General features: G+C 36.6%; 1 protein-coding gene across 30 annotated transcripts in view, besides 2 other annotated features; it reads left to right on the top strand.

Annotated features, from left to right (window-relative positions):
* The window catches only part of NFIB (nuclear factor I B), a 450,235-nt gene that overhangs the window by 232,217 nt on the left and 191,515 nt on the right, over positions 1-26,503 (top strand). The window lies entirely within an intron of this gene.
* Positions 24,843-25,442: an enhancer, noted in NCBI's record as "OCT4-NANOG-H3K27ac hESC enhancer chr9:14274418-14275017 (GRCh37/hg19 assembly coordinates)". NCBI's record gives its function as "activates a minimal SCP1, AML or CMV promoter by ChIP-STARR-seq in primed H9 embryonic stem cells {active_cell/tissue: H9 hESC(primed)}" and the evidence as "EXISTENCE:reporter gene assay evidence [ECO:0000049][PMID:30033119]".
* Positions 25,443-26,043: an enhancer, noted in NCBI's record as "OCT4-NANOG-H3K27ac hESC enhancer chr9:14273817-14274417 (GRCh37/hg19 assembly coordinates)". NCBI's record gives its function as "activates a minimal SCP1, AML or CMV promoter by ChIP-STARR-seq in primed H9 embryonic stem cells {active_cell/tissue: H9 hESC(primed)}" and the evidence as "EXISTENCE:reporter gene assay evidence [ECO:0000049][PMID:30033119]".

The following is a 26,503-nucleotide window of genomic DNA, read 5'->3' as shown; positions in this document are numbered from 1 at the left end:
CCTTCAAAATTTAATTGTTCTAAAATGGGAAAGCAGATGATTACATGCATAACTATATTGTTTATAGTAAAACACTTAGATACACATATTCTGTTTATGATGATAGCTTAAACAGGACAGCACTGATGAATCACTGACAAATTAAAGATCTCTGAACAAGGACTATATAATTAAAAATATGGGGTGATGGATGAAGTAATTTTACTATCAAAAGTTGCCTGGAGGTTGTGTATTTTCAGAATCCTATTTTAAGGCAGTTCAGAACATGTAGTAAGTTATTGATGAAGCATAAACCAGTTGAAAATGGAATTTGTTTAAACAAGTGCGAAATAAAATAAGAATTACCTTTAAGAAAAGAATTATTTCATGTTAAATACATGCAGTTTTAAAATTTTAGTTAGCTTCAACTCCATTCAAAATAGTCTATTTCTCAAAATAGTCAACTTAATAGTATTCATTGAATTTTGAAGTACACATCTCTCATAAAACTACATAAAAGCATTTAACAAGCATCCATTAATATTAAGCGACACATATATAGTCTCATGCTGAATGAAGATGAACTGTTTTTTTAAAAACCTGATTTTTCATACTCATTTTGAAAAAAATACATGGATAAATGTATTGGTGCTAACGGAATGGTAGAGCTTGGGACAAAAAATCTAATCATGAGCACAGATATTAGGAAAAAGTTATTTGAAGTAGGGTATATTCTGTAATTCATGTGAGTGGTGGATTACATTTATGCCTATGCTAATGACACGTCAATATGAAGTCTATACCCCTCTATTAGTGAATTCTGAAGTGTAAAAAATGTTCCTTCGTAGGACAACTTGTATTTTATTATTCTGACATCTGCAGTTTCTGGTTGGATTACCTTAAATTTGCTATGCTATGTTAAAAGCCTTGTTTTATGAGGTCGGTCTCAGCTTCTGGCCTTGGTGTCAGGAACCCTGCTACCTGATGCAACTTGCCTTGTTAGGTTTAATTGACCAAAGCTGATGTGTTAAAACAATTCATTTGCGCTGTAACTTACGCCCTGGCTAAGTTGCTACCTGAATCCCTTGACCTTGACTTGTTTGGGTCATGGAATGGCTGCAAGCTGTTTGACCTTTCTATTGTGTAATAATGTCACTGTTTCCTCTTATTCTTTAATGGTAATAGCTGACAAAAAGGCCCAAGCCCGCCCTTTACACACCAGTGGATTCAAGGCGTCCGTCTGCAGTAGCTACGTCTTCTGTTTGACATGGTCTGGCTGTAGAAGTGACTTTCTTTTGTTTGCTGACAGTGATGGGGACAAATTTGCAGCCCTCCTTGCTACAAGAGGTGGGGCATAGTATTCTGGCATTTGGAGGGATTTAGATCTTTTCTGCTTAGATTTTCAGTTTCTCTGTTTTATGATGGTACATATCACAATTTCCTTTTCCACACTCGTCTGAGGTTGACTTTTCAGCTTTTTATATTTATGGTTTCTTTAATAATTACTTTTCAGCATTTTCAGCTGCTACGATAAAAATATTTTATTGTCATAATATGAGGTAAAAGTGGGAAATTTAGTTATGCTGTTGGTTACCGATGTGAAAACAACTGACTTTTGAACTTAACACTATAAATCTTTGACTAGTACTGAAAAAATCTGTATACTAAACATGTAGGGTAAAACCAACATTTTTTTCTTTACAAATGAGTTAATGTTGTAACTTTATATATACCATCTTATGTTATAGTTTTAAGGGAATCCTATCTTTTGTGACTTAAATAGCTAAATTTCATGACATAGTAGAGAACCATTAGTAAATATGAAGATTTTATTTCTGTGGGGACTTTTGCCAGCATGTAAAAATAACTATTTATTTTAATGAATATAAAAATTGTTTTTTTTCTACTCTTCATGAAAACCTCATGTGCAAAAATAGCGAATTTTACCTCCGTTCTTCTCTTCTGAAGCAGTGAAATAATTTTATTTTTAAAATACTGGAAAAGCCTTCTAAAATGTTAAAACACAGATATTTTTATCCTACCAAACTCTTCTTTGCCAAATATGACATTATAGTTCATGATTTTCCTATATTTGCCAGATTAAATATTTAAAATCCAAGCTGTTACATTTTATTTTTAAATTATTAGAGGAAAAAAGGAAGTTTAAGTTAAAATGTACATTTCCTTACTTGCGTGTTGCGTACTGTTTATACATGTGTGTAGATACACTGACAGATGAGAGACAATGTGCTACAGGCGCTAGAACCTGGGAAAAAAGCAGTAGATTTCTGCATTCCCATCTAGAAAATATCTGAAAATAGCAGGTGAGAGGCTTTCTTTTCTTTCTGGTTTGTTTGTTTGTTTGTTACTGTTGTGTTTTAAACTGTTTTTCCCCCAGGAATGTTCACAAGATCAAGGAATTTAAATGCTTTTCAGAATGAATCATGTTGATAATCCAGAATCATAGGGGTCAAAGGAGGAAGGTTGAATGAAGTGCTCTGAATCTCATTTTAGTCCATGGCCTCAGTTTTTCTCTCTTCTCCTGTAAAAACTAGTCTAGAATAGAAAATATCTCTTTTGCCTTTCTGCCGGTTCATTAGCATCCTCAGGGGCAGCGCCAATGTGGAGTTGGCTTTAGATGTGGTTGGTGGGCTAAGGGGTCAGATGACAGTGAGACTGTGATATGAGAACAGCAGCCAGCCCAGAGGATTTAAAAATCTCTTTAGTTTTCTCCAGACGTCTACCTCAGTTCCTACATCGAAAGAATTTTAAGGTGATCTCACCTGTTGAGTTAAAGTTTCTAGTCCAACTTGTGTGTTATCCAACTTGGGTGTGTGTGTGGGCAGGGAGCAGGGGGTGTGCGCATGCACACACGTGTTGTAGGGAGTTGAAGAAGTGAAGTTAGAAGAAAAAGAGAAAGGCGGGGCTTAGATCTTGCAGGAATTACTTAAGAAAGATGGCTTATTCTTAGACTGAAGAGTAAATAATGTGCAAATTAAAGTATTCTGTCATCCTTTGAATTTTGAATTGCTTAAGACGTTCAGCATATCCCCCTTCTGCCTTTTCCATTTTTGTAGAGCACAGAAAATGTCTTAGTTCAGGCTACTATAACAAAATAACATAAACTGTGTGACTTACAGACACTAAAGCTTATTTCTCCCAGTTCTGGAGGCTGGAAGCCCAGGAGCAGAGTGCCAGCATAGTCAAGTTCCAGCGAGGGCTCTCTTCCGGGTGGCAGAGTGCCAACTTCTCCTTGTTTCCGTACATGCAGCAAAAGAGTGAGAGCTCTCTGGGATCTCTTTTATAAGGGCACTAATCCTGTTTATGAAAGCTCCAATCTCATGACCTAATTATCTCCCAAAGGCCCCACCTCCTAATACCATCAGATTGGGGGTTAGGATTTCAACGTAGGAATTTGGGGAAGACCCAAACATTCATTTTGTAACAAAAATCATGTGCATAGAATTTGACATTTGGGGTTCTAGTCTTGGCTCTGCCATTTATCTGCTTTGTGACCTTGGTCAAGTCACTTCAGCTCCATGTGCTTTGCTTTTCTGTTCTGTAAATCGAGGATTAAAATGCCTACTTCACTGTGTTGCTTTAGGATTAAATGAAATAATTCATGTAAGTAAAAGCAATAATGTTAATAATAGCAATTACTACTATATATGAAGGAAAATAGCATAATGTAGACTGCCAGGGAGACTATCCAGTAGTGAAAAAAAGGAATGACTGGATATGAAGCAGAGGGTCATCATTTAGTTCATATTTATCTCAGGTAACAAGACATACCAAAGAGGAAATCGAAGTCCTGCTCACTGTAGTGCGCGTGAATATTTGTTAGTGAAAACTCTTTGTGTAGGCACATGAAGTTAGCTAGTTGTGTGTAGTTTTAAAACCCATTTAAATTAGAATGATTGTATGGTTTTAGAAGCCTTTTTGTCTCAGATTTACCAGAGACTAAATTTATTGATCAATCTAGGTATATTTGAAGGGAAGGAATCAAATAATTTTATTAGTGGCTCTCTGAATAAATAACTCAATTTTGGTGTGGGTAAAGGGTGTCCTATCAAGTACTCGTAATTCACTGCACTCCAATAAAAGTGTAAAACTGTCATGTACAAAAAAATTAAATTGCCACCATTTGGGAGAACTACACTTACGTTTTAGATTTGTTTCGGCAGAAGTGATGATGATGTGGCTAGATGGGATAGTGCTTTGTTTGTTTGTTTGTTTGTTTGTTTGTTTTTTGAGAAGGAGTCTGGCTGGGTAGCCCAGGCTGGAGTGCAGTGGCGCAATCTCGGCTCACTGTAAGCTCCGCCTCCCGGGTTCACGCCATTCTCCTGCCTCAGCTTGCCGAGTAGCTGGGACTACAGGCGCCCTTCCCCACGCCCGGCTGAGTTTTTTTTTTGTATGTTTAGTAGAGACGGGGTTTCACAGTGTTAGCCAGGATGATCTCCATCTCCTGACCTCGTGATCTGCCCGCCTTGGGCCTCCCAAAGTGCTGGGATTACAGGCATGAGCCACCGCGCCCGGCCAACTGGATTGTCCTTAAAAAAGCATGCTGCTGGTTTTCAGACTCTTTTTAAAGTCCGAAAGTATCATATTTAAAAATGACCCTTAGTTGAGTCAAAACCTCAAACCGTTTAATCAGTTGCATGAATTGTTTTGATTTTATTGCCATTTAATTTTTCTCCTTTAAGTCACTCTTTCCCATTCCTCCTTTTCTATCGTGTTAAGAAAATTAAATAATTAAATGAGCTCCGTAGGAAATAAGTTAACATTTATTACTGAAATTGACTTCACTTTTGCTAAGAACAACTGGAAGCCAAGTGGAGAATGGTTACAACATTTACTTCTTACGAAACTGTGATTTGGGATCACCGTGTTTGACTTCAGTAGCTCTGGTTGGTTGTGTCCATGGAGGTCCTTGGAGGAACTAGTTTCGGTGCTTGTTTCCCTACGGCCACTGAACTGCACCCCTCACTTTGCACAGGAGGTTTGGAAAGTGGAGAGATTAGCTCATATCCACAATCCCTACTAGGAAAATTTAAATCACGTGTCACATTGACGTAGGGTAAAAAGGCATCATATTCTTATATGGAGCACTTTATAATAAGTGTATCACGTACCTAGGGGTTCTAGCCAGGAGTTAATAGGAAAAGTTATTTCACTGTTTGTCCATTAGTTAAAGGGTAACTAGGGTGTACGGAAAGCAGGATCAGTACATTGATTAGCTTGTTTGGATTCTGGCACATAATTTTTAATAATCTGTGGCATTCCTTTTCTTTTTGATAACACACTGGTGTTTAGTAGCAGTTCTGTTCATGGGATACACAAAACTCGAAAATCATATACATGAAACAAAGTGCAGCCACAGTTTTTAAACATATGTAAACTGGGATTGCTGTTGATGGCAGAAAGATTTGATATGATGTCTTTCTAATGTATTTGAAAAGCTTTGCTTACACTTATGATTTAAAGTTGATGTTCACTTAAAGTGGGAGCGTATACATGGTTGTTAAATTCTAGTTGCCTTTCATAGCCTCTCAGAGATGCTTGCATATTTCTTTATTCCTGATGGTAAAGCATCAACATTTTAGGATATGACTTATAGTTATCATGTAACAATTTCTGTTCTATTTACAGTCTCCAAATAAGGGAAAAGCTGCTTATAGTAATATGAGGATCACTGGTCTTACAGTAATTAAATAGACTTGTTATACTACATTAATCCCTTTTGGAACATTTGGAATGACTTCTTAGTACTAACAAACACAGCATTAGGGCCTACAATTAATCTGCTTTTCGTGTCCAACATTCGTATAATATAAAACATGTGCATGGAGAAACATATTTTGGGTTTAAGATGAGTTCATGGGAGGACAAGATGAAATTATTTTGGACTGTTGAGCAATATGAATATAATGCCAAGTACTGATAAAATACGGAATTCATTTAGAATCAACATAGGTAGACAGACTGTTTTTAGTAAGGTTTTGTTTTTTGGTGAATACCATGTTTGGGCTGTCAGACTTACTTTTCCCCTGAGATCCATATTTTGTACATGACATACCAGATATATGCAATATGAAACGGAAACAGTTTTTCAATCTAATATCCAGGAGTTTGTGTTAATATCTTGTGAACTTGTGGCTCTTGGTATCTGGCATTGATAAGGCTGTCTACTAATCCTAGAGAAAGGGAAGTAGACTCCGTTTTAAAGTCTAGTCCAGTCTTATTCTTTAGTTCATAGAAATGGTCTAAGTTAATGATAGACTCCGCACTTATGTTCAGAAAGCATCATCATTACAGCTTTGTTGAAGGGACTTCTGAGTAAGGATTATGTTTGCGTCTCCTGTTGTGGAAGGCCCATGAGGCGTAATTTCCTCCTCACCATGGGCTTCTTTATTATTGTTGAGTTTTTCATACTCAGGGATGTGAATTCAACCTTGGGTGTTCCAGTTACAGAGAAAATATTTCATGAAGGATGAAGTGTTGGTTCAATTCTAGGACAGATTGCGTGCATATATACAGAGTACTATGGAAATGCTGGGATTATTGAGTGGTTTGCAGCCATTTTCGACCATGTGCCTGGGACTAGCTAACACATTGTCAGGGAAAAACATGATGTAGCAACAATATTAGATCATGCAAATGAGACTACTGAATAGTAATAGTTATGGGCAATATTTTGGAAAACACTGATTAGTGACAGTTTTATTACAGCAAATGTATGTATCAAGTCCCCAGATTTCATTGTAACGCACTGAAAACAGATGTCAAAGTGTCCCAAACAGAATTTCATGGTTAATCTACATATTGCATGGAAAGTACAAACAAACCATTTAGAATTCTGTTATTTAATCCTTTTAGAAGGAATGAAAATATACAATTTAGATTTACTCTATTCTTTCTTTTAATTTCAGTTTTTGTTTTGTAGGGGATGACGATAATTTTTTTTGTTTATTAAGATGCATATAGGAGAAGACATATCTGCGTATGGACATAATTTTACTTAATGTACTTTGAAATGTAAGTTTCTGAACATAAGGTCTTTACATTAAAAAAAGAAAAATTAGACTCTAAATTATTTAGTGACCTGATAATGGAATTACCTTCTTCCATTCCTTTGTTTACTGATGTAGAGATTCACTCTACGCCATATAGTGATTGAAGCAGCTTGCTGAAGTGGAAGAGAAAAACATTGCTGGTCCTACTGTTTGCAGGTGCTTGGGAAACTTTGTCCCTCTCAGTAACTCAGTTTCTGTATCTGTCAGGGAAGAGAATTGGCCTAGAGGACATCCACTATCCCTGTTAGCTCTAGCATCCTAGGAATTTGGTTTCTGGTTATCTTGGCAGAGAGCAGTCCTCTTCATAGTAAGCAATACTTAATAAAGTTTAGCACATGCTTGTTAAATTTAGGGTTTTAATACATTTTATTTATTAAAGAGAAATAGAAAATGTGTAACCTGACTCTTGAGTAACACTTTCATGTTGCTCATTTCAAAGTCCAATAGTTAACTCATTTGGTTCAATGTAGATAAAAGCTTACTTTTTAAGAAAGAGGTCTTTAACTTGTAGAATTTTAGAGCCGGGAAAATCCCTACAGATCTTCTCACTTTACAGTTTGGGATACTGAGTCTAAGAGAGGCCCAGTGCTTCTTTGGATGCGTTACTTTTACTGCTGTAGGAGGAAAAATAAACGTAAATTATCAAAAAATAATGAAAGGTTATTATTTCGTGAAAACATGGCAGCAATTTTTAAAGGAAAATAGAAGAAAAATAATGATTAAACATCTTGTATTATCATTTGTAATTAAGATAAATTAATTCAAGAGACTAGGTTTTTTCTTTTATACATTTTCATAGGAAGTATTCTAACGAAATCAATCTGCAGCCATGGTCTTTCTCTTTTTTTGTGTGTGGATGGAAGATACACTAAATTGCACTCAACTAATACCAAAATTTGATGCTGGTTGAAAAACAGAAAGGACCCATTAAAAATATATGGCCAATTTTCCAATAACATAAGAAAAGATGATTGAGATTTGTTATAAGAAAACTTTTTTTTTTTTTAACTGAAAGTCAGATTTTTAAAGAAAAGGTCAGAGCTAGTTATGAGGAGCTGTTAGAAGTTCTGCTTTTGGGTGTTTGTAATTTTCCGATTAGCTTGATAATTACTACATCTCCCTTTTCCTTTGTGTGGCATGTATCATCTCAGTTAAAGAATTTTTTTTTAAGTTTAAAACAAACATCCATATCTCTTTTATTTAAGAGATGTTTCTGAGAATTTTTTTATTAGTTTAATATTTAGTAAATAAAACATATGAAATTTACAAGGGGAATTTAATTTCAAAAAGCAACTTTCAATGAATCTTTTTGTTAAGGTAGAAATTCTTTTACAGAGTCTCTGTCGCCCAGACTGGAGTGCAGTGGCGTGATCTTGGCTCACTGCAACCTCCACCTCCCAGGTTCAAACAATTCTCCTGAATCAGCCTCCCAAGTAGCTGGGATTACAGGTGCATACCACCACACCTGGCTAATTTTTGTATTTTTAGTAGAGACTGGATTTCATCGTGTTGGCCAGGCTGGTTGTGAACACCTGACCTCGAGTGATCCACCCACCTCAGCCTCCCAAAAGTGCTGGGATTACAGGCGTGAGCCACCTTGCCTGGCCAAGAATTCTTTTATAAAATGAAAGAGTTGTCTATAATTTATGTTTTAGAAATGCCCTGTGTGTGCTTATGTATATCAAGAGACTCTGGAATAAGGCAAAGATTAACACATTGAAACAGAGATATTAGAGTATTAGAAAAAGTTTAATATCAGCTACTTCTAGTAGCTAATTTCTAGTTTGACAGTATATGGTGAAAGTTTGAAAGCATGTTTTTCAGGCACAATTGTTGATGGAAAAATAGGTGAACAAAAGATGGGTACAATGCAAGTACAGGAAACCACAATCAATAGAAATGTTATGAGAGCATACTATAAAATAGATAATATGTATTTGTTGAATGAATGGATGAATGCATGCAAGTTATTTATACTGAATATAGAACATTAGGGGCAAATCAGATTACTGTTACTGAGGTAACACAAGAAAGTTCCTCAAACTAGGAAAATCTCCTTTTTACTGAGGCTTGTTTTCTTTCTTTTGTATATGCACTAGTGATTGGTCACTGTTTTAGAAATACATTTCCACTTTATGTGTATATTTTTAATGTTAAGAATGAGTAAAATAAAACCATGTGAATTACAGGGTCTGTATTAGCAATAGCACGTATTCTGGAATCTTGCTGTGAGTTTTAATGTTTGTTTTATACTATTCACTATGTAGTTGGGTAAATTAGTTTTATTTTCTAAGATTCAGTTTCCTGAGCTCTGGAGTAGGCATGCACTTTATTTGGCAATTGTGAGGGTAAACTGAGAAAATACTTGTGAAGTGCTTACCGCCGCACCTGCCGTATTGTAGACGTGCAATACTTTCTCTGAGCTTTCCAGAAGACTTGGTCTCCCTTTTGTGGGCAGAGCTTTAAGTTAAGGGCAATGCTATGCCTAAAGTGCGGAGAAAAATATTAAATTTGGCAAATTTTCCAGTTTCCTAGGTATATGGCAAAAATTTAAATACTGTAATTGCTATGTAATGTCTCAAAATCCACTCCTAATGTGAATGGTATAGAGCCACAGCTAATCACAATGCCTGTTTCAATATTTGTGAGTTACTTAAGGAAATAACCTTCCCTAGAGTACAAAGACATGATAGATTCTTGTATAAATTTCCTGGTACAATCCAGTATACTTTACTACTATCCATTTTTCATGAGGTCTTTCATTTGGGTATAAGACAATCCCAGGCACAAACATAATGGGAGATAAAAGTGAACATACTCGTAACTGTTGCCTAGCGGGGAGTGTTCAAGGTGATGGTATTTATTTATGCAAGGAACTAAGACTTTAAAATCCCAAACATTTTCATGGTCTGGAATGGTGATGTGTTTATTTTTTTCCTTTATGTTTCCAATAGCACTGACTTTTAGTCCCACAAATAAGGTTGGAAGAAATATCTCAATATTATGAGTAAGATTATTCTCTGAAGAATAATTTTGACTGTTTTCTCTTATTCATTAAAAATGACACATCATTTAAAAAATCATTTCACTGGTAATATAATTAAGTCCCTGGATAATAATCCTTATCTTGTCATTTTTTATTAGTCTTTAGATTTTTTCAAAGTGTGCATATGTATTTATATGTGTGTGTATGTATGTATGTATATGTATGTGCATATATATGTGTATTTATATGTGTGTGTGTGTATATCTATCTATCTATATCTATATGGTATACCAAATATATAGGAAAATATAACCTTCTCACCAACTACCAAATATTGGTATACCAAATATATATTGAACCTAGTTTGTGAAATTCTTAGTTCGTCTATACTGCCCCATCCCCTCAGCCAAATAAAAAGTGAACATAAGTTCTTAGATGACAGTGATCAGGTGTTATTTTCATACTTCTTTTCCCCTTGTTCTCTATAAGGCAATATACAGTGGGCTTGTTGATTCTTTAGTTCAGTGTTGATTATATATATTAATGTATGTACATGTATATGTGTGTGTGTGTATGTGTATGCATATATATATGTGTATTTGGTATACCAAATTATATATTTGGTATATATTATATATTTTGGTAAATATTATATATTTGGCATACCAAATATATATATATGTATATATATATATATATACATATACACACACACATACACACACACACACACACACACACGCTTTGGAAAATCTAATGACTAATAAAAAAGGACAAGATATAATATATATGTGGTATATTAAATCCTTTTATTTTGGTATGTGTTTAATATGATTCCGTATGTATCATCATATAGTCAAAGAAGTAGGCATTTGTGGATTTATGAAAATATATCCTTCAAGGAAAATATAGAACATTTGAACTAAAGGTGAAAAAATGAGAAATGCATTTATGGAGTGGAAGCACTGTACTGAGCACTGTTTTCAATATTTTAAGGAGCTAGGAAAAAACGGTGAAATACTGATGGCCTTGTCCGAGTAATTTACAAGTAGAAATGAGAGGGTCATGGTCACTTGCAGTGTTTATGAAAAACAAAAATACCAAAGATAGTGGGACAAGTATACAACTAACTAACCCTCTCACCAACTACTATATATAGTTAGATTTGCGGAGCTTTCTGGGAGGGAACCCTGTGTGACTGCAATGGAAAGGTCACGGAGAGGAGGTGAGTGTTAAGCAGAGTTTTCTCAGGGGTTATGTAACAAAACCAAAACAAAATGAAACAGATAACCAAGAGTCTACTTTTCACATAAATTAACTGCATTTGGCATTGATATATACTGTTTTGGGAATGTTTGTTTTGGTGACAAATTTGGTGTTCTGTTAAAAAAAAGTTAATAAAAGAATCTAATAGGAATTTTAACACAGATGCCAAAATATTTAATACTAAATGGCTTTGATTGATTAATCTCTTTTTTATTATTGAATCGTAACATTGAACTCTGATATCTAAATTATTCTTAAATATAGTTTAGCTCTTAGATTTCAGTGTATGTCCTATACACATTGTCTTAAAATGTTTCGTAAAGTATCTTTTAAAACTAATTCTGGTATTTCAATTGTTTATGTTATATAATCTTGAATCAAAATTGTCAATATATATTTGTCATGTGTCAATAATTTGTTTTAAGATATTTTGGAATTGAGAAGATAATTCTATAGGCAATTAAAAAATCTAGAAAGCAAAATATTCTGCAAATATACTGTATTTAAAAATATTCTTAAGTTAGCTGAGTTGAGTTTTGCATCCAGTTTACATGACTATCATTATTATTTTAAAAATCAAGCGTGGCTGTTGAACTCAGCAGAAGAAAAAATGGTTTTTGTTTGATGAGGTATGTTTTATTGTCAGACTAAAATATCTGACCTGATGCAAATTTATACTTTTTTGCTGCTAAAAGCAATGGGCTGATCTAGTGACACACCCAACAATAAAATAACACCCAGCTTTAAATATTTTGTTCTCTGTAAATGATGCCTCTTCCAGAATATAGGTGTTTCCTCATAGGTAATTGCAGAAAAAAGTGTAAAATGAAAACTGTGGGCCGGGCGCAGTGGCTCATGCCTGTAATCCCAGCACTGTGGGAGGCTGAGGCAGGCGGATCACGAGGTCAGTAGTTCAAGACCAGCCTGGCCATGGTGAAACCCCGTCTCTACTAAAAAATACAAAAAATTAGCCGGGCCTGGTGGTGCGCACCTGTAATCCCAGCTACTCGGGAAGCTGAGGCAGAAGATCGTTTGAACCCGGGAGGCAGAGGTTGCAGTGAGCCGAGATCGCGCCATTGCGCTGCGGCCTGAGCAACGAGAGCAGAACTCCGTCTCAATTTTTTTTTTTTGACGGAGTCTCGGTCTGTCACCCAGGCTGGAGTGCAGTGGCGTGATCTCAGCTCACTGCAAGCCGCCTCCCGGGTTCACACCATTCTCCTGCCTCAGCCTCCCTAGTAGCTGGGACTACAGGTGCCCGCCACCACGCCCAGCTAATTTTTTGTATTTTTAGTAGAGACGGGGTTTCACCGTGTTAGCCAGGATGGTCTCGATCTCCTGACCTCGTGATCCGCCCGCCTCGGCCTCCCAGAGTGCTGGGATTACAGGTGTGAGCCACCGCGCCCGGCCTATAATAGCTCTTTTAAAGTAGCTTTCAATCTTTTAAGGTTACAAATCATATACCCAAAGATAGATTTGAACCTAGTTTGTGAAATTCTCAGTTCCTCTGTACTTCCCCATCTCCTCAGGCAAATAAAAAGTGAATGAAAGTTCTTAGATGACAGTGATCAGGTTTTCTTATTTTCATACTTCTCTTCCCCTTGTTCTCTTATAAGGTGATATACAGTGGGTTTTGTTGATTCTTTAGTTCAGTGTTGATTATGTTGTGCACATGTAGGGAGATTATGAACACTGACATTTAAAAAGAAATCTTTCTCAGTTTGCCCCTTTATGATGGCATTTAAAAGCCATTCTGTCTGCAGTGAAGCGGCTTATTCATTCAACAACTATTCACTGAGCACCTACTATGTATCAGGCACTCTGCCAGGTCCTAAAATTGCAATATAGAGAAGACAGACATTTTACAGATTTTATAGTAGTGAGAGACAGTTTAAGAAGAATTACCCAATTTTTGTTGTTCTTTTTTCTTAAGTGTTCCCATTAAGTGCTTAATAAGTTATAAAAAGAGTAATGGTAGTGATTATACAAACATCATCTGAAAGAAATGACATGAAAACTTGTGACAACTTCTGAGAAAATAGTGAGATCATGAGAATGGATTATTGTGATGAACAAGTATAATTTTCTCTGTATGACAAAAAATATTTTTGTAGTGTGTACATGGTAGTTATACATAACAAGCATACAAGCATGCTTGTTATGACATCTTGTAGCATGTAGCTTTTTTTGCAGGAGGTTGGAAATGTGTCAGGATGTATTTCTGGACTCTGCGCTGCTCCTAACTGGAGCAATTGCATTGGGTTCTGAGTGGCCCTAGCACCCTCCCATTCAAAAGTGAGTAAGCAAGAACTGTAATGAAACTTGGAGGAATAGTGAGTATGTGTTAGGCTTCCTGAAGATGATTGCACTTAATGGAACAAATTAAAGAATAATAGAATGTGGCATTGGGGTACACCCAATAATTTCTCCAATTCCTCAGATGTCAGCAGACTTGTTGCAGGTTTTGCAGTGAACATGTCAGTCTGGTGGTGTCCCATCATCAAGGGGCGGTGACTAGGTGTGCATGGCGTTGGAACTTGCTAGAAGGAGCCCTGGAAATAGTCAAAAAGTTGGAAATCAGGAGTACTATCTAAAATCTTGTTTTTGCCATTTTTTAACTGTATAACTTTCAGCAAGTGTTTTGAAGTCCCAGAGGCTCCATTTCTTCTTGTGTAAAATGGAGATAATACCAATCTTACAAGTTAAGGCTTTACATAGTGACCTGATGCTTAAGTGATACCCACTTAAGGTGGGTAGGATTTTCTAGCTGTGGTGCTTTTCCACATGTGACCATTGCCATTTAGCTAACATTTAGTGAGCATTTACTATGCGCCAGGTATTGTTTGCAAAGTCACCTGTTTGACTCCTTTATTCCCTGGTAACCATATGAGGTAGATACTTTACTGCCCTTTCACAAATGAGAACTCTGAGGGCAAGCTAGTTAAGTGACAGAGTCAGAATTTTGATCCATGCAGTTATCGCTGGACTTCTTTCTTAACTGTAATTCTAGATAATGAACTTCCTCTGGCCCCAGTAGGGTAAAAGAGACAAAAGAAAATATTATATAGTCTGAAATAACCTCTACATATTAAAAAAAACTCATTTCACTTATTGACACACTAAAAAGAATTGAAATAGGACTGGGCGCGATGGCTCACGCCTGTAATCCCAGCACTTTGGGAGGCCGAGGTGGGGGATTACCTGAGGTCAGGAGTTCGGGACCAGCCTGGCCGACATGGTGAAACCCTGTCTCTACTAAAAATACAAAAATTAGCCAGGTGTGGTGGTGTGCACCTATAATCCCAGCTACTCAGGAGGCTGAGGCAGGAGAATCGCTTGAACCTGGGAGGTGGAGGTTGCAGTGAGCTGAGATTGCACCCTTGTGCTCCAGCCTGGGTGTCAGTGCAAGACTCTGTCTCAAGAAAAGAAAATTGGAAAGAATCATTTGTTTTATCTTTAATTTATGAGTTACTGCTTTCAGTTTTATTAATTTTGATATACAAAATCTTAGTGATTTCCAAGCAAATCTTTTAAACTAAGCAGTCTTTCTCATTTTTTGTTTTCTCTTGCTCTATGCTGCTTATGTAGGAGACCTTGAAATTGGATGTGTTTATTGTGCAGTCCACAAAGGCTACATAGGGCAAATAAAATGTCCTTAAAGAGAGGATTAAGCAAGTCAAGAGCCATACTTAGGAATCCAACTGTTCAAGAATAGGTATCATGGTCTTCATTGTTGACTTATGATAAAGATCTTCCCTATCCCACTCACCCTATGCTAGATTAATGGTTTTCCTTAGAAGTCTTAGAATAAATTTTTCTTCTGTTTTTCTTATTGATTTGAAAAGTTGGGATATTTTTCAAATAAAATATCTATGTACACTTGAGTAAATGGACTCTGGGCTCTTTCTGTTATGAAAGTTTTCTGAAGGAAATAGATGAACAAAGAACGTATATTTTAGTTTCCATAAGTTTTTTGGTTGCATCTTTCTAAACAGAGTCCATTTTTAATTCAAAAACTTTTGAATTTTGAGTGCTCACTTTGTGGATTATTTAGATAAGAGTTTATGAGGTTTGTAAATCATCATAAGTTTGCAGGACAAAAATTCCGCCACCCCTTATTCCTATACATTACATTCATTTTTTTGGTTTCAAAGATTGATTTTCTTCTTAGATAAGGCTATGAATCTTAGTGAGAAAGAAGATGTATGGAAAGATCCAGAAATGACTTCCCTTTCTCTTCTGAAAGACAGCAATCCTCCTTATTATTACTGTTTTATAATTATGTTAGTATTAATTGGTAGCAATATTAGTAATAGTAAAAACAACAAAATGTCCCATTCCCCCCATTAATTATTTATTATAATGATTACAGTTACCCAGGGAACTAGGTATTCTCATCAAATAATAGATAAAGAAATTGAGGTTAAATATCTTGAATAACTCTCCAATCCGAAAGCTAGTAAGAGGCAGAGTCAGAATTCAACCCATGACTGCCCCTTCCCAGCTCATATTCCCAGCTTCACTCCCACTACTTCTCCAGTAAAACTATTTTTTAAAAAAGGGTCTTCTCTGCATCTCCAAGGGTTATAAGCTACATTTTATAATAATGTGTGTATGAAGCAGAGTTAGAGAACTCTCATGAGATCTCAGTGTAGTCCTACCTACCTACCTAGACAAAGAAATAATTGTATGGTTTGTCTTTTCCTGTCTACTGTAAATGTTTCTTCTTTCTACTTGCTTAGATGTGCATCTGTTTGTCCTACAGACACTGTTCCTCTGTCCCTCAGTGAGCTACAAGCAACAGAGCTTTCTTGAGTGTTCCTGGATGCCAACGCACAACATTTAAACATACTGACTTTATATATTTGCTCCCTAACGTGAATATGGATATTTTTCTCTTCTGATTTCATTTCCTTTAAAAAGAGCAGTGATGGCTCAGGCCAAATCAACTTGAGTTCATGCAGCCCTGAGCATGATCAGGACTGCTCTTGCCCTGAAAGAGGAGTCCATTGTCCTCAAGGACATTATGTCAGAGCCCTTAACTGTGAACTTTCAGTCAAGATGCTAGACTTGCCAGTTAGTTACACAGAAACTATTAGGTCCAGGATGGAATGTGGCAGTTAAAACAGAGGAACTTTGATCCCCAAGATAAAGTGGATACAGACACTAGTATGCTTGCATTTTACCACAGTTTTGATTTGCATAGTTTTTCTCAATCTAAATTCCTTCAACCTGTGTCCAGTGAGTGGTGCAATGATACAAATACACAAGCGTTTTGCTAGAAAACCTTTAAGAATGGCTGATGCGAGTCATTCCCCAAGAGCCCCTAGTCCGGAGTCACAGTGATACCCAGTTATGTCAGTTCGTTTTCTTTTAAAATGTGTGCTAAATGTTAATCTCTTTAAAAATGTGCACTAAAATGTTTGCTAAATGTTAATCTCTGGATTTGATATTTATGTGGTTATTTATTTAATCCTTTAACCTTGCCAAACTTAGCCAGAGTAGTTCTAAGATGATAGTAACAGTAACAACAGCCGCAACATCTAATATTTATTAAGCACTTACTATGTGCCTGGGACTGTGTTAAGGGCATCACATAGCATGTTTTATTTAATTCTCACAACTAACTTATGTGGAAGCTATTATAATCATGGAAAGTAAAGTTCTCAGACAAAGAGAGAGCCAGTCATGACCGAAGTTCATACAACAGTGGTTAAAAGGAGGAACAAGTATTTGAACCCAGGTGTTCAGGTCTGAAGCCCTGCATGAGGAGCTCACCTGGCTGTGCGGCCTAATTCAGAAACTCATTAGTCTGGTAGCTTTGGGAAAGTCGCCCTCCTTCAGGAACCTGTTTCCTGATCTGTAAAAAGGACAACTACTCTTGCCTTCCTGATCAGATTGTTAAGAAGACCAAATAAGAAAGGCACATTAAAAAAGTACACTTTGAAGAAATACGCAAATAGATGAGACTGTTTTAATGACCTTAGCACACTCTAAAGACTATGTTTATCAACTGCCATTTCTGTGAGTAATCACATTAGAAAGTCACATCACTTGTAATTTGGACTTTTGCAAAGTGGTCCACCATGTGTAATATAACATTATTTTAATTTTCACATCTCTACTGTTACTGATTGTACAAATAATTTTGTATATTAGAAGAAAAGTCATTAAACACAATACGATTTTTTATCTGAGAACATCATGCTTTAATAATATTTATGGGATATTTATTGCCCTCTTGATATTGCTTGTTACCACTTTAGTAGGGGAGGAGAAGACTGACTTTTACAAAAAGAAATGAATGCAGCATTTCTGTCTGTAGCAAATAAAATGAGGTAAATAGTTGAATGGTTACTGAAAAAATGTTATCAGTGTAAGGGAATGGTTTAAATATTTAAAAATTGCCCTCCAAATAATGTAACTTAAATCCAATTTATATAGTAGCAGAAGTTTTTGTACTGAATCAAATTTCTGCAATTCTTCTTGCCCCCTGAGTAGACAGAGCTGTGGAATAGAATATTTTTAGAATGAACACTTACCACAAAGTTTTTCCTTTAAAGTTTACATTGGTTTTTTGAAATATAATAAGATTTTTTAAAGTACAGATATTTGACCTATGCAGCATCCATTTTTTGTTCCTCTGGGCATTTATAAATATGGGATTTAGTCATTCTTATGTTCACTGAATTAATTTCCCTAAAAAAAACACGTGTGGGGTGTGCACGTGTGTGTGTGTGCATGTGAACGTGTGAGAACACAACCTAAGGATTATAATCATTTAGTCAAGGTCATAAGTGACCTGACATGCCCTGGAGCATGCTGTTTATAATTGCTGTGGTTAGTTTTCCTTCTCATTGTTTTTACCTATAATGTCAAAACACAACTATATGGAGTTGGTATGTTCACTAATAGCAGTTTATCTCTGCATGGTTTATAGACAGAGTCAAAAGCCAACAACTGTAATTACATCCATGTTTCTAACTTAGCAGCAAGCTAGAAAAGTGTGGTTGAAGTATGCTGTGGATATAGTGCAGCCAGTAGGAATTATAGGGTAAAGTCATTTCTCTACATTCTTTTGGTTTTACAATAATTGTTACTTAAATTTTGTTTTCTGGATTTTACCACTGTCTGTTGTGTTTATATGACCACATAAAGAGTGCTTGAGTTACGTGTCTCTCCACTCTATTTTTCTACTCCTTGCCTTCCTTTATAAATGTACTAGTTCTCCTTTCACTTTCTTCAGACTCAGCAGACAGTACATTACAGTTAATAGTTTTCTGAAGCAGCCTGATATTCATGCTCTATGGAACCCATAAGACTTCTATTATTTGCATTATATGTTTAATTGGATAATTATGGGAACCATGTTGAACTGTTAACAACTGTCAAGCCTTTGATTAATCTTTTGAATGTTCATTGGCATGGTTCAAGTTAGCAACCACAATACAGATTTTAGGTTTTTATTTTTGCTGCTCTCACAACCATTTGAGAGGGTAAAAATGATTTTTCTAGAAAAATATAATATCCCATTTTGGCTCACCGTACATATTGTGGCACAAAGAGCTATGTAACTTATGTATTGCCATAATTGCCTTTGCATATGAAGTATTGTAGTTTAATGAATCTCCAGAAAATTATAAGAAAGTCTTATTTTTTAAATGATCACAACTATATAACATATAAAAGAATCCTAGTCTTCCTCCAAGGAAACCAGTTATCAGTTCGGTCTGTAGTCTCCCTGGCCACCTTCTATACCTGAGGATTCTTTTCCCTATTTTACTACTCGTAAAATAGTAAATTTCATTATTTACAAAATAGGTGCATCCTCCAAGGAACCACAGACACCTCCTATGCACCCACACTGAGCTGTCATCCTGAGTCCCCCCTTGCCTAACGTTGTCTCCTGTGGAAGTGGAATTCCCTGGGAGCTACTTGTTACAGGAGAAGACTAGTCAATGAATTGCCTTATTCTTTTAAGGTGTGTTATAAATTGAATACTGACCACAGGAGCACTAATCTGATAGAAAATACTGCCTCTAATCTAGTTTTAAAATAAGTAAAGTGTGAGTGTAGGGTTAGAGAAGATTGAGGTATTTAAAAAATGATTAGGATAGGTCCTCCTTGGTAAGGCAACATTTAAGTAAAGGCTTGAAGGGGGTGGTGAATGTAGATACTCTTTTAAACACTTGAATGTGTGTGTGTGTGCGTATTTTCATCTATTCCTTACATCAGCCCCATGAGGCAAGATCTATTAGTATCTCCTTTGTACATGTGAGGGAACGAAAGAACAGAAAAATTATGCCCAGGGTCACACAACTAGCAAGTGGTGGAATCAGCCTTTGGACACAGGCATTTTGTTAAACTATTATTTTAGATCAGCCCCTAAGCTGGCTTAGTGAGGCTGATCCAGGATAGGACTAACCTCCTTAGCAGACTTTGTACTAAACTAGATATACAGGACTCAGATTAATTCCTCTTCCTGGGAAATAAAATCCTGGATTCTACCTGTCATTTCCAAAGTGTGTCATTTTGAAGTACCATCTTGGATCAAGTTAATACGATTGGAATGGGCACTTCAGCTGCTATCAGAGCAATCCCGCTGGTTGTGTTGTCATTGTGTTTTGGTGCTTTAATCAAAGCACGAAAGATGTGAGGGAAGGAAAATTGTTTTAGATGAGAAATATGCAAAAGGAATCTAAACATCATTCTTACCTTCTGAGTTCACATCATTATTACAGGACCATTGTTTACATTTGGGAGCTTTATGGTAAGTGTACCTTCTATTGAGGTCTGAGATGGCCTCTTCAACCAGTTCATAATAAGATAAGGAACCAGAGATGAAGAGTGTGAAAGGAGTGTGCAGAAGGAGCAAATACAGACTAGCAGCAGTACATGTTGTGGCCCATAAATATCCATCCTGGAAAATATCTTAGGTGCTTTGAGTTGTAGATGAGCAACATCCTTCAAATTAGATTTATGTTTTATTGTCTGAAGTAAATTATATCGATCTCTGTTGCCTTGAGGGTCTTTCTTTGAAGTCGTACCTTTTGACCTGCCTTCTCTATGGAGCAGTCTGATCACTGTTAGCCTTAATTTCCCTTTTTGATGAGGATTTAATAAGGTCTCAATCTCAGGTGGTCAAGTCTTAGGTAAAATGTTTGTGTGAAAGTAGTGGGAAGGGGATACAACTTGGAGAATCTAGTTATCAGTGTTGAAAACAGGATTCAGTTTCCAGGCATGATGTACTTTTTTCATCATAGTGATTAGTAGATGTAATATCCTCTTATTATCGTAGAAAAGGTAGGGGATATGATGGGAAGACGGGGCTTCCATTTTTGGTTCCATTACCAGTGACTGGGACTTGTGCTTCGGTTTTGCCGTCTGTATAATGATGGCATTGTTAACAATCACTCCTGAGGATAAATTTTGATAACGTGTGTGAAAGGGCTTTGTGAATTGTAGGCACACTCTCTCTGTGTCCGTCTCTCTCTCTGTGTGTGTATGCATATATTTTTCTCCCTACCTCACTAAAATGAAAAATTCCTGAGGATAAGAAACACCTTATTTTTAACACCTGTTTTATAGATAGTACTGATAATGTTTTTGTATTGAACCTATTGTGGACTTTCAGCTTAGGTGTTTGAGTGAAAGTTTCCTAAAGTTAGTTAACACATTTTTTTCCCCTCAGTATGCCTGTAGTTTATAAGTAGCGTGAAGTTCTACTGCTGGAAAATACAGTGGACAAGTGACATGGTTAGCTTTGTGCTCTGACTGGAATTATTTTCCCCCAGTTCGTTTTTCAGTTTGTCCCAAGAAAGTCACTGCTTCTGAATCATGGTGGGGTTAAAAGTCTAAATTCCCCACAAAACAGTCAATAACATTATACCTTAGTAATGACCCTAACAGGGTTCTGTCCCAGCTTCCCGCCCACATTCATTGTTCATGTTTTACTCACTAACCTCCAAACCCAAACATTCTAGGCTCCGCTCACTCAGGGGCTCGCCTCTTTTCTTTCCTCAGCCATTGAGGCAGCCTGAGGGGATACATGGTCTTCCTTCTGTACACTGTTGCTTTTGATTTCCACATGTTTCAGACCATTGGATGGCCCAGTTTTGGAGGTGCAAAATAAGACTGATTGAACATGTGTATCTTGTTAGGAATGTTATGACAAATAACAGCAGCTGTATAAACTAATCTTTCTGTAGCTTCGCACGACTCAATTAACAATGGACCACTGTCAACATTTGGTCCTTTTTACCTCATGGTTCCTGTGAACTTTTCTGTTGGACATCAGATTACTTTTACCTACCAACAGAAGAAAATATCAAATACTGCAAGTCAACTGCACTTCCCATGGTGTTCTCCACGTGATCTGGGGAGGGACTGCCAATTATAATGATTACTGCATTGATTCTAATTAGAAAGACATACTGGTCATCAGGATGGTTGTGACAGTTTAGGATTAATTTTTCTGAACTTAGCACCAAAACTCATGGTCGTAAGATGCTGGTCTCTGAAGTTTAGAGTGACTACAGCATGAGGCAGGGTGGCAGGGACATAGCTTCCCCCAGAGATCATCACAGGAGACAGAAACATCTTTGTGAGCGCTTTGCCATGTAGAAGTCTACTGTTGTGCATGGTAATTTCAAGTCACGAGAAACAGAAATCTCAAGTGACCTTTTATCTCTTTAGGTAATTTCTATCTGTACTTTTTGTGAGAAAAAAGGAGGGTACACTGGATGTTCAAGTACAATGGGGAACTCAGAAAAGCAGAGTTATAGCCTTAGAGTAAGGATGAGTAAAAGTTCAAGTTCCAGCTTAAATGTACTTGACATTTGAACCCCCTGTTTGAAGCCCTTACTTTAGGTCTATCTGCAGAGGACATCTGAAATTCCTTTGGCTTCTAATCTATGGCAAGTGAACAGGAATGGATGACAAAGGGATATAAAGATAGAGCTCAAACAAGTTGTTGTTAATTCTTTCTTTCACCTACGAGGACTAATGAAAAGCTTAAATTACTAAATTCAGACTAGACCATTGTCGCTACTTGCCAAACAGTACATGCTTGTGCGTCTGTCTAATCCATATTTGAAAGCCACAAACAGAAGCACATAATTTGGCAAAACACCAAAAACATGCCTCGGCACACTTCTGGAGATTCTTCCAAATGACTTAATGATTCAAAAATGTGTGTGTGTGTGTGTGTGTGTGTCTGTGTGTGCGTGCACGTGTGTGCGCGGGTGCACATGCATATTGCCTGGAGATGCTTGGAATAAATTCTGCCAGCAAACCATGTGTATTACACTTGTTTGGAGGATTTGAGGATTTCTTTCAAAATTCTGAATTGTAGAAAGCAAAAGATAAGGCTGTTTCTTGGGCAGTTACTTTCTCTTTTATTTTAAAGATGAGTAAGTAAAAACTTGTTATTTAAAAAAAATCTCCTCAAAATACAACATGTAAAACATTCTGTCTTTTAAGAAAGTTTAAGCATTCTATTTGTTTTTGAAATGTGTTTTGAGCTTTTTTTAACAGGTGGATCACAAATAGCAGTTCAGTACAAGAAAAGTTCTTCGTAGCACCATGAAGAAATTTCCTGAATTGAAAAATTATTCTTTCCTAAGCTTTTTACAGAAGTATTTTTTTGTGGCCTGATTTCTGCTTGATATAGAAAAGATGTACTTTTTAAAAAAGCACATAATCTGAATTCAGTTTACAATACTTGAAGATATTTAGGTGACTGCATGAAGCTATATTAATAAGACAGATATGGAAGGCAAACAGTCCCTAAGAAACCTTTCGTGTGATCAGCTTTCCCTCGCATGAATATTATTTTTAAAGTCAGATACTTCTATGTGTAGTATTTTATTTAAATATTGCAGGAACCTTCACAAGATAGATATTATTATTACTCATCTAAAGATGAGAAAATTAGAGCTCACAGAATTTTACAATAAGTTACCCAGTATTTCACATGTAGGAAGTGGCAAAGGTAATCTGAAGCCTGAGTCCGCAGATAATGCCTTTGGCGTTGTACCTTTCAGCCTTCTCTGAGAAAGGTACATTTGTATTACAATTTATCTTCCTTTCATTCCTTAAATTGCAAACCATATTGCTCTGAAGGTCATTCTATGTAGATTATGTTAATGTCTTCCAGTTAGCTGTTTAAGTTATACCTCATACTTGTAAATTGTAAAGCACCTTTATCTTTTGTTTAAAGTATCTTATTTAATATTTATTTCAATTGGATAAGATATTGTTTCCATTTTACAATTGAGAAAATAGGATTGGGAAGCAACTACCCCAACAGATAGTCTAGATCTGGGGATTAAGAACAGTATCTTTTCCCCAACTGTTTTTCCACTGCATTTTAAATGTTTTAAGTCCAAAGAAAATTTGTGCTTGATTCACCACCTCATACCAAAAAATGGAGTATGGCAAACCTAGACCTTTTTTGCTTGACAAGACAAAACAAAAAACCCCTGCAGTATCTAGTCATGTAATTCTTAGTGAACATCTTCTCATATTTCAGTATAAATTGGTAATTTGTCAAGCTATCCATATATGCTTGAGAGACTCTTCATTTTTGGTTAAGGGTAAGAAAGTTTTTTTTTTTTCCTTCCTAGTTTCAGAGTTTTTGGTATACTGGTAGAGTTTTGAACATCAACAACTTTTAGTCTTTTGGCATAATAGGATTAGATAGATTATGGTTACTGAATTCACACAAATGTAAAAGAAAAATAGAGATAGGGAAGTGAGGGAGGAGGGACTTAGTTCTTACTGCCGTATTTATCTATTTTTAGTGCCATTTGAAAATTGCCACAGGAATGTAGCATCTCTTTTCTCCTGCAGACTTAGTTTTACATCAGTTTCTTAGTATGCCATATAGGATAGCATTATACTCATGTCCTTTTAGATAAGTACTCACAACTAGGAAATTAAGATGCCAAGGATATAAGCCCCTGGGTGTGATAGGGTTTTCACTTATATACACAGATATCATTCTTCAAGGATACTGCTTGTGAATGGGATGACTCAGGAGATGTTAATGAGAGTCTTCCTAGCCTGGCATGATATCCTAACCATGGCGCCGTGCACTTTTTCTTCCCTGTTTGCCTCAACTGCACTGATATCGCTTTATTCTTCTTCTTACTATGACTTTATGATTGATGGTTACGAAAATCCCAGAACTGATATGAATTCAAGTGTGTTCAACGATTAGAGTAAGAGAATGTTGGCTGATAAAGAAGAAGTTGACTTTAGTTGAACACAAAGATATTGAACTCTAAGTTACTCATTTAAATATGTGACACAGAAGTAGAATTCACAGAGGTTAACCCCTTGGAGCACTCAGAGACCATGATCCTGGCCTTGTCCACGTAAAACAACTCCCTTCAGAAGTAACAAGAGCAAGGTCCAGCCATTGCCAACTGAAGCCCGTTGAATACACTGGGACGTGGGCAAATTAAGAACTTACTGATAGTTCGCCCACTGGATTTTATCATAGATCTTATCAGCTTCATGGTCTATGACTGTTGATTTGACTTTCTCATGAAGTAAATTAACTTCAAAACAAAACCTCACTATCTCTTATCTGTTGCCTAAACAATGTTTCCAAAAATTGACCACCTTACTATACAGTTCACTTGGATTTCTTAAGAAATCAGTTAATTTAGCTAACTGGCAAACAGAACTCCACCACCTCTTCTCTGGTTCTGAAACAATGTTTCCAAACGATGGTTGTCCTTTAGCATGCTGTCAGAGCACAGTAGGCCCCAATTTTTAAAAGAGATAATTCTTTTGTCTTTAATTTTGTCAATTTTAGCCCAGTTCGACTTAGTTCTTGTGCCTCATGTTGGATAGTTGCTCTAGAGAAATGTGATCCCAGGAATGCTGGTGATTTGCTGTTTTAAAATGGTGCTGTGCTTTAGGTTTCTGTTCAAATCTAAGATTTCAGAAGAGTCAGTAACTGCAAATAATCTAAAAGGGGAAGAGTGAAGAATGCTTCTAACTTCCCTTTGAAATGAATAGCTCTGCCAGAGCAGCAGCTATTAGAAAAACAAAAACGACAAAGAAAAGCTGCTCAGCCCAGCACACAGAGGTAAATTTACTTACATCAGACTGAAAAATGAGGGCTGGGCTTTGAAAAGACATCCCTTCTGACTAGAGGAAAGCTTGTAATTTTGGCACGGCTGCCGCCCTCCTAAGCCCCTGAGAAATTCTGAAAAACATTACGGAAGACTGTTCTTAATATTAATGGATGTCTTCGTGTGTGTGTGTGTGTGTGTGTGTGTGTGTGTGTGTGTGTAGGGAGGAAGAATGCTAGAGAGAGAAAGGGGGTAGAGCATGAGAGAGAAGAAAAGATCACTTAGGAGGAAGAACTACCAGTGGAAATGTCTACTTTCTGAAAAATAATTTGCATCTGTCATTTTTCACTCTTCAGTAAAGTAGTGGTCAAGATGAGATATAGAGAAGCATTCACCATTTACACTTCAAGTTAGGCTTGCAGTATCGTGGCTCTTTTAACAAGACTTCCAAAAATACTTGTAGATAACATTGCTCACTGATGTGATCTCAAATCTATTATATGACATCAGAGGTGAAAAAAAGACTGTTTCCCTGTGGCTAATTGTGGTGAGTGTCACATTATGTTGTACTGTAGTGAACAATTTCGGGGGCACCAAAAGCCTACAGCTCTGCCTCTTGGGAGGAGACTTTTCCTTTGCAGCTCAGCTTCAGGAAACGTGAACATTTGTGTTTTCAAGACCACATACCATTGGGAAGGAAGTAGGGGTGGAGATGCGTGCTGAGATTAAGTGGGTATGAGAATCTCTGTACTGTGTATGATCTGGAAACTGCTGAATTTTATGTAGCCCTCTTTCTGGCATGCCTTTAGAATTTTAAAGTCACACTGACAATAATACTGATCCTTGCTAAGGATATTTTTCACAAAATAATTTATTTACTTTTTAGGCGAGGACAGACGGACCTCTGTGTAGCGTGCCTGACCAGCTTGTCTCTGAGCTGTGTGTCAATGTGTCTGGGGAAACAGAGACAGAAATCTGCCGGCAGGTACTCCACAGTCAGATTTATTTGGGATGTATAACTGTAACCTATCATGGTAAAGAAATTTAATATGTAATTATGGGAACTAGTTGTTAATAGACAACTTGAAAGTTATTTTGAGAAGGGAGGCATTAAC

Source organism: Homo sapiens, chromosome 9 (assembly GCF_000001405.40).
Source record: "Homo sapiens chromosome 9, GRCh38.p14 Primary Assembly".
Lineage (NCBI taxonomy): Eukaryota > Metazoa > Chordata > Mammalia > Primates > Hominidae > Homo > Homo sapiens.
The sequence above is the reverse complement of the archived record's forward strand: the minus strand, read 5'-3'. Positions and strand labels throughout refer to the sequence as shown.